Here is a 9,156-nt window from a genome sequence, read left to right as displayed (position 1 = left end):
TTTTTTTGTGTGAAGTGTTTTTCTAGCATTTATAAGTGAAAGCTGGCAGGGGTGGTAGTTGGGCTCATAATTAACGTGGTAATTTAGCAAAATGAGAGCCTAGTCATCCAATTTTTTTTTTCTTATAGTCAGCCAGAGCTTTCCTCATTACCTATGAGAAATTTTGAGTGAGTTACTTGGTTCCTTTCTCTAAAATAGCTTTAGTTTGATGTTTGAGAATATCGGAGATAATGTAAAATAACTGCAGAGTATGGTTCCCGGCTCATATTTCTGAAGTACTACTTATTAACCTCCAGCTGTCCAGAAAGCTTGAAAACTGTTTTTGTTTTGTTTTGTTTTGTTTTTTGAGACAGTGTCTTGCTGTTTTTCCCAGGCTGGAGTGCAGTGGCATAATCTTGGCTCACTGCAACCTCCATCTTCTGGGCACAAGCAATCTTCCTGCCTCAAAACAGATGAACAACTATATAGGAAAGGAGTCATGAATGTAATTATTGAATTTAGGTCAGAGGCTTGTGTATAATAAAAGTAACAGTTGGGCAGTTCTAGAATTCATGTAAGTATTAATAGTATGAACAGAATAATGTCTTTTAAGGGAAGTAGAGTTGAGTGACATTTAGTTTGGGGAGGGACGTAGAGTGATCTTTTGATTAATGAAGAACATGAAGTAAATGTCAAAATATTACTTAAAACTAGTGAATGCTACCTGTGGTATGGTTTCCCCAGTGTGGTTGAGTTGGGGTTGCTCAGGGTGAAATGAGCCCTTACCCCTAAAGAAAAATGACAAGGACACTTTAGTCAAATTGTTAATCCTACTGAAGGAAAGCATCCCTGGAGAGAACACTGGCTTCCAAAGCTTTTATCTGTTACCTGTAAATGAGTTATGTAACACATGGACCATTAGCTGCAAATGTTTTCACTTTTGCATTTTACAATAATTTCAGACCTTAAACACATCATTCTACTGAAGACTTAATGGATTGAAGAATATCTGGTATTGATATCTTTGATATACAGCTTTGGGAGGGAGAGGGGCCTTTTGCATTGCCACTGCTATTGATTGGTAAATGGTATTTAAAATTTGGGTGAGAATTGGGACAGGTTGGGAGAATTTTCACAAAGGGTGGGAGAAGTGAACATAAGCTCTTTAATTAAATGGAATATTGAGACAATTTTGTAAGAAGTTACTGGTGTATAATGCTGACTTAGTTTCAAAAATTTAGCCTAACTTTTTGTAAGTTAATTACCAAAATGCCAACAGACAGAAACCAAGTTGTACTAGTTATCTCAAGAATTTAAAACCTTTCCCTACTATTCAAATTTTGTTTGCCTTTGTTTTATTGTACTGAGACATATAATGTAAAATACTAAATCTGATCTAATAGCAAAGAAAATCAAACCAAACAGCAAAATTTCCTTTTAAAAAACCCTTTCATTAGTTTTAAGGTTTTTTAGTACTCAATTACTACCGTTCCACGTGAATTAGGTAATGAATTGCTTCAGATTGCTGTGATTCGAAGTAAATTTAATTAGCCTCGGTGCAGTGGCTCACACGTGTAACCCCAGCATTTTGGGGGCCAAGGTGGACAGATGGCTTGAGCCCAAGAGTTTGAGACAGCCTGGGCAATATGGTGAAACCCCATCTCTACAAAAAATTAGCCAAGCATGGTGGCGCGTACCTGTAGTCCCAGTTAGGAGGCTTGAGGTGGGAGGATCGCCTGAGCCCGGGAAGTGGAGGCTGCAGTGAACCTTGATGGCACTACTGCACTACAGCCTGGGTGACAGACCCTGTCTCAATCCAGTAAGTTTTTATGTTAAAGAGAACCAAAAAAAGGAGAAGAATTTTTGTTTTTAAAAAGATGGTCTGGCTGTGTCGCCCAGGCTGGAGTGCAGTGGTGCTATCTCGGCTCCTGGCTCAGGCCATCCCCAGAGACCTTCCTATATTTCAGACCGGGGCAAGAGCAGTGGGAGATGATTAATGAGAGAGCAGAAACTCCAGATGGGTTGAAAAGGACGCCAAAAGCACAAAAACAAGGCACTAGCCTCACTTCTAATTTGAAACCCTGCAAAGTGTTCCTATGACCACATGGGATAGAAAGCACAGAAGACCGAGAGATACACAATGTTTGGCACAGAGATGATCTGAGATTACAGACACAAACACCCCACAGAATTTTCCTTTGATTCCCAGATGTCGTAAGAGGGACATCACTTGAGAACCAATGGGACTTGTGATGGGGTCATTATGGTGAAAGATAGGGTTACTGCATAGTAGCAGCTGTAAGATAAAGAGCCCAGCTAGTGGCTGGATACAGATGGCAGAATAGCAAAAGATTTGCAGTACCAGTGAAAGCCAAGGCGAGATAGTCAAGGAGAGACCACTGAATTGAGTGCCAGTTATATTAGCTTTGGCGCACACCTATAATCCCAGCTGCTCAGGAGGCTGAGGCAGGAGAATTGCTTGAATCTGGGAGGCGGAGGTTGCAGTGAGCCGAGATCGTGCCACTGCACTCTAGCCTGGGCAACAAGAGAAAAACTCCGTCTCAAATAAAAAAAGGAAGACCAGTTTTTTCTGCTATCAGTGGGAATGGGAATTTATGAGAAAACTCACAAGGCATATCTAGGAATTTACCCTGGAATTACCAAGAAACAGGAGAGTTAAGACTAATGCAATCAAACCATAAATTCTAGGTGGAGGTGATCTCACTTGGAATGGGCCTTCAGATCATTTATTCATACTTTGTGTCTCAAATTGGTACCAATTCTGTGTATAGTTCAGACTCTGGAACTCGGGATCAGGCTGACACTGCTGAGACTGCATCATGGTTTGACCAATTTTCCCTGCCCTGTGCTCCTTTCCTCATTCTGCTTCAACTGAGAGCACTCTCGAAGTGAATCAATTGCACAAAAATCCCTGGCTTAGGCTCTGCTTCTAGGACTTGATCTAACACAGTTAAGCTGAAGCTAAAGCAGAAATGTACATCACCCACATATCCTGGACTTGATTGTGATGCAGCAAATAATGAGACTGGGTTGTCTCCCTCAGAAGAGGGGGTGAGAAACTTATGAAGAATAACTGCATTATACTAGTATTTCTGAAAGTACATGAGAAAAAAATTCTTGAATGCTGAACAGCTAAAGGGTGAATTATAATGGACATCTTATTAATACCACATCAGTTTCCCCTTTCTAATTGCACACAGTTTTCCTTGAGTTTTTCTCTCTCCATTGTACATAGGCTTGAGGAGAAAGAAATCCTGGTCCTTAACGGGTTATTTTGTCACCCCAGAGGGTGGACATTTGATTTAGGCTTGGCCAACCAGACTCTTTCTCCTGAGATTTTCAATCTTGAGGAGAATGATGCAAGCAAGCTGTAATGCTTATAGGTTTTTTTGGGTTTTTTGTTTGTTTTTTGAGATAGTCTCCCTCTGTCACCCAGGCTGCAGTACAGTGGCATCTCGGCTCACTGCAACCTCCGCCTGCCAGGTTCAAGTGATTTGCCTGCCTCAGCCTCCGGAGTAGCTGGGACTACAGAACTACAGCCACCACACCGAGCTAATTTTTTTTTTTTTTTTTTTTTTTTTTTTGAGACAGAGTCTTGCTCTGTCACCCAGGCTGGAGTGCAGTGCTGTGATCTCTGCTCACTGCAAGCTCCGCCTCCCGGGTTCTCGCCATTCTCCTGCCTCAGCCTCCTGAGTAGCTGGGACTACAGGTGTCCGCCACCACGCCCGGCTAATTTTTTTGTATTTTTAGTAGAGACAGGGTTTCACCATGTAAGCCAGGATGGTCTCCATCTCCTGACCTCGTGATCTGCCCGCTTCGGCTTCCCAAAGTGCTAGGGATTACAGGCGTGAGCCACCGCGCCCCGCCTTTTTTTTTTTTTTTTTTTTTTTTTTTTTTTCAGTAGAGACACGGTTTCACCATGTTGGCCAGGCTGGTCTTTTTTTTTTTTTTTTTTTTTTTTCCTGAGATGGAGTTTCGCTCTTGTTGCCAGGCTGGAGTGCAATGGCGCAATCTTGGTTCACTGCAACCTCTGCCTCTGGGATTCAAGCAATTCTCCTACCTCAGCCTCCCATGTAGCTGGGATTACAGGCAGGCGCCACCACACCCGGCTAATTTTTGTATTTTTAGTACAGACGGGGTTTCACCATGTTGGCCAGGCTGGTCTCAAACTCCTGCCCACCTCGGCCTCCCAAAGTGCTGGGATTACAGGCGTGAGCCACCACACCCAGCACAGACTGGTCTTGAACTCCTAAACTCAGTTAATCTGCCTGCCTTGGCCTCCCAAAGTGCTAGGATTCAGGCATGAGCCACCATGCCCAGCCTATAGTTCATTTTTTAAATAGCACTAATTAGAAGACAACTTTGGGCAGTTTCTGCTCTCAAAACTCTAAAGCTGCCGGTTTTCTGTTTATGAGTCTGGTTACCCAGCCTTCTCTTCCATCGTGTGAGCTTTCTCATAACCTTTCAAAACATTCCTCTCACCGCAAAAATAATAACTGTGAGGTAATGCATTTACTAATTAGCTAGATTTAAACATTCCACAATGCAAGTATACTTCAAAACATCATGTTGTACGTAAGTACATATAATTTTATTTGCCAATTAAATTTTTTTTTTTTTTTTTTGGAGACAGTCTTGCTCTGTCGTCCAGGCTGGAGTGCAGTGGCGCGATACTAGCTCACTGCAACCTCCGTCTCCCAGGTTCAAGTGATTCTCCTGCCTCCGCCTCCTGAGTAGCTGGGACTACAGGCTCGTGCCACCACGCCTGGCTAATTTTTTGTATTTTTAGTAGAGACAGGTTTTCACTGTGTTAGCCAGGATGGTCTCACATCTCCTGACCTCGTGATCCGCCCACCTCGGACTCCCAAAGTGCTGAGATTACAGGCATGAGCTACCGCACCCGGCCTTAAAATTTTTTTTTTTTTAATTTTGCTTAGCCATTCAGTGGCTATTACATGCAGCCCTTCAATTAAAGAGGTTTATCTTATACAGGCAGCATTGCTAATTTAAGGGAGGACAGCAACAAAATAATGGATGACAGCTCTTGCTCCACCTCAGCTGCCACTGCTGCCAACCAGTTTCACTAGACCATAGTTACGCCATGTCTGGGGCTGATCAGTCATTTCCTAGAAAGTGCCAGGCTCTACCTCAAGGTTGAACAGGCAGGACAATGAGTAACATACCTGGGCTCTTTTTTTTTTTTTTTTTTTTTTTTTTTTTGAGATAGGATCTCACTTTGTTGCCCAGGCTGGAGTACAGTGGCAGGATCTCTCCTCACTGCAACCTTTGCCTCCCAGGTTCAAGCCATCCTCCTGCCTCAGCCTCCTGAGTAGCAGGAACTAGAGGCGCGTGCCACCATGCCCAGCTAACTTTTTTAAATTTTTTGTAGAGATGGGGTTTCACCATGTTGCCCAGGCTGGTGTTGAACTGATGGACTCAAGACAATTTGCCAGCCTCGGCCTCCCATAGTGCTGGGATTACAGGTGTTAGCCACCATGCCCAGCCCATACCTAGGGTTTCTGGCTTTTCCTTCACTTTCAGACTTGGATAAAATGCCACACCTCACAGGGATACGACTTCCTGAGTAACCACCAAAGGAGCTGGATGATGCAACCTGGAATTATGGAGGAGTTAACTCCCTGTGGGGCAAACTGTAACCAATGGGAATTTGTTTTCCTTCCTCCCAAAAACTGCCCTGAGGCAGTTTGTCCAGAAAGTTTGTCGAGAGACTTCCCCAAAGACTGTGCCAGCACTCCTACTGAGTGACTAGCTGTGTCTCTCTGAGCTCACCATGAAGCAGTGGCAGGACAATACAGTGTCCCCGTCAATGTCCACACCCAAAGATTGCACCTCATAGATTAAATATCAGCACTTAACCCCTGCCCCAGATTCTGTTTTCAAGGGAATCCAAGTTAAATAATCCTTTGTACCTGTTTATTTTTGTACTGTTTTAAAATAATACTTAGCTCTTCCTCCTAAGTAGGAAATATTAACTTCACTAATTAAAAGCAAAATATGGGCTGGGCACAATGGCTCACGCCTGTAATACCAGCACTTTGGGAGGCCAAGGCGGGCAGATCACGAGTTCAGGAGTTCAAGACCAGTCTGGCCAACATGGTGAAACCCCATCTCTACTAAAAATACAAAAATTAGCTAGGCATGGTGGCACACGTGTGTAATCCCAAGCTACTCAGGAGGCTGAGGCAGGAGAATTGCTTGAACCCAGGAGGTGGAGGTTGCAGTGAGCTGAGATCACGCCACTGCACTGCACTCCAGCCTAGGCGACAGAGTGAGACTCTTTCTCAAAAAAAAAAAAAAAAAAAAGCAAAATATGGTTCAAAAAACTCTAACTGGCTTTGAACTGTAGTAATAATGTTAATGATATATAATGGGAAACAATAGATTTATTCCATTATAATTTAATATTTTAAATCAGAAATTGAAGTAATTAATAGGCATGGTTTTCACAGAAAGATTCCATTCTATCCCTAAGTCATATCCTATAAATAGGAAACATTCCAAACTCAGTAAGGAGAGAGTAGGAAGAGCTTTCAATGACACTAAGAAAACCAGGAAAATATAAATGCCCTGCAAGCCAATGGACAATTTCAAGGAAGTGCTCAATCTTAAATGCTAAATATGGATAAATCAAGAAGAAAAGGAACAGAAAAATTACACTGTAGTGAGCCATATCTCTTTTCTGCTATGGCTTCATGGGGATTCAGTCTGTCATTTTGTGTATATAAAAAGAAATAAAAATAAGAGATGTCTTACCTCCACAAAATCCATTTCACTTCTATGCATAACTCTTTGAGCACATATGGGAAACTATGTCCTCCCACTAGCGATGTCTATTGTCCATCCACTGCTCTAGGCAACTTTTGCAACTTCCTCTGTTGCCCAGGCTGGAGTGCAGTGGCACGAACACAGCTCACTGCAGCCTCGACCTCTTGGGCTCAAGCGATCCTCTTGCCTCAGGCGCCTAAGAAGCTGAGACTATAGGCACATGCCACCACACCTAGATAATTTTTTTTATTGTTTTTTGTACAGACAGGGTCTCACTATGTTGTTGAGGTTGGTCTCAAACCCCTGAGCTCAAATGATCAGCCCGCCTCGGCCTCCCAAAGTGCTGGGATTACAGGCATGAGCCACCACACCTGGCCGACCCTCCATTTCTTTAATGCTATAGCCTATCATAGAAAATAGAAGATATAGCAATAATCATTCCCAAGAGCTTGACATGTAATTTAGCTAATCAAAAATGATGACTCTCTTGATGACTGGAATAATCTAACTTGGATACTGTTCAAGGGGGGGAAAGTTATATGGACACATCATTGATCATGTCTTCCTCCTTTGTTAACCTTTAAAATGCAAGCTTAGAGGTTATTTAGAGGTCATCACTATCTCTTCAAAAGCCTACCCCTGCAAGGCATAGTAGCTCACGCCTGTAATCCCAGCACTTTGTGAGGCCGAGGCAGGCGGATTACTTGAGCCCAGGAGTTCGAAGCCAACCTGGGCAACACAGCAGACCCCATCTCTACAAAAAAATTAAAAATTAGCTGGGTGCAATGGTACATGCCTGTAGTCCCAGCTACTCAGGAGGATCACTTGAGCTGGGGAGGTCAAGGCTGCAGTGAGCTATGACTGCACCACTGCACTCCAGTCTGTGTGACAGAGTAAGACCCTGTTTCAAATAAATAAATAAAGCCTATGCCTACAGGGTACAGCTTCTGCCAAAGATTTATCTATCTCTATCAGGAGATAGAGACCATCCTGGCTAACATCGTGAAACCCCCGTCTCTACTAAAAAAATACAAAATATTAGCCGGGCATGGTGGCGGGAGCCTGTAATCCCAGCTACTCGGGAGGCTGAGGCAGGAGAGAATGGCCTGAACCCGGGAGGCGGAGGTTGCAGTGAGTGGAGATCGCGCCATTGCACTCCAGCCTAGGCGACAGAGCGAGACTCCGTCTCAAAAAAAAAAAAAAAAACCAAAGTCGGGTGTGGTGGCTCATGCCTGTAATCCCAGCACTTTGGGAGGCCGAGGTGGGCAGATCATGAGGTCAGGAGATCGAGACCATCCTGGCTAACCGGGCATGGTGGCGGCTGATAGAACCGGGGCGGGGGGGCGGCGGGGGGCTGAGGCAGGAGAATGGCGTGAACCCGGGAGGCGGAGCTTGCAGTGAGCCGAGATCGGGCCACTGCACTCTAGCCTGGGCGACAGAGCGAGACTCCATCTCAAACAAAACAAAACCAAAAAACAAACTCAGGTTGCCATCAAAAGGACTGCAGCAATTCCAGGCCTTACATTCAAGGTCAATCAGGTCCAGAGGGAGCCTGAATCACTTCTGAAAATTCTCCTGGAAGAGTGAGGAAAAGCTTTTCTGCAAGCATTCTGCAAATCTTGCAACTCACTGAGGTGAACTGGGAAATATGCATAAACCTAATCCAGTTGCTGGCAAGAGGGTGATATTACCAGTCCTGACTACCCTTGAGTCTGAGGATGCTAAACTAAGCTACAAGGGAGTGCAGTTGAGAGATGGATTCCTAAACAGTATCACAGTATCTATTGGGAAGGAAAAAGCAGGAAAACCATGTTCAGTAGGTGAAGAACTCACTTTTTTTTTTTTTTTTTTTGAGACAGTGGGTTGCCCAGATTGGAGTGCGGTGGTGCCATTTCAGCTCACTGCAACCTCCGCCTCCCAGGCTCAAGGGATCCTCCCACCTCAGCCTCTGGGAGTAGCTGGGACTACAGGCTCCAGCCACCTGGCTAATGTTTTCTTTTTCTTTTTTTTTTTTTGTAGAGACAGGGTTTTGTCATGTTGCCCAGGATGGTCTCGAATTCCTGGGCTCAAGTGATCCTTGGCCTGCTAAAGTGCTGGGATTACAGGCCTGAGTCACCACGGCCAGCCCAACTCATTTTTGTATTCTCAGCATCTTGTAGACACACTTAAAAAAACAAAAACAAAAATCCCAGACACACACAGTTTTGATTTATCTCAAAGTTGAGTGAAGGAGGCATGTTTTATTCTTGTGTATACTACTTTTAGTGCTTAAATACCTTGAACATAGGCAGGAATTTGACTTTTTGGGTGGGAGGGGGAACGGGGGGGGGTCTCACTTTTTCTCACAGTCTGGAGTGCAGTGGCACAATC

General features: G+C 44.0%; 1 annotated feature.

The window, feature by feature from the left end:
* Window positions 4,765–5,395: an enhancer, noted in NCBI's record as "H3K27ac-H3K4me1 hESC enhancer chr9:86577603-86578233 (GRCh37/hg19 assembly coordinates)". NCBI's record gives its function as "activates a minimal SCP1, AML or CMV promoter by ChIP-STARR-seq in primed H9 embryonic stem cells {active_cell/tissue: H9 hESC(primed)}" and the evidence as "EXISTENCE:reporter gene assay evidence [ECO:0000049][PMID:30033119]".

This window comes from Homo sapiens, chromosome 9 (genome assembly GCF_000001405.40).
Source record: "Homo sapiens chromosome 9, GRCh38.p14 Primary Assembly".
Taxonomy (NCBI): Eukaryota; Metazoa; Chordata; class Mammalia; order Primates; family Hominidae; genus Homo; species Homo sapiens.
Note: the sequence above shows the minus strand (reverse complement) of the source record. Positions and strands in the feature narration are given on the sequence as shown.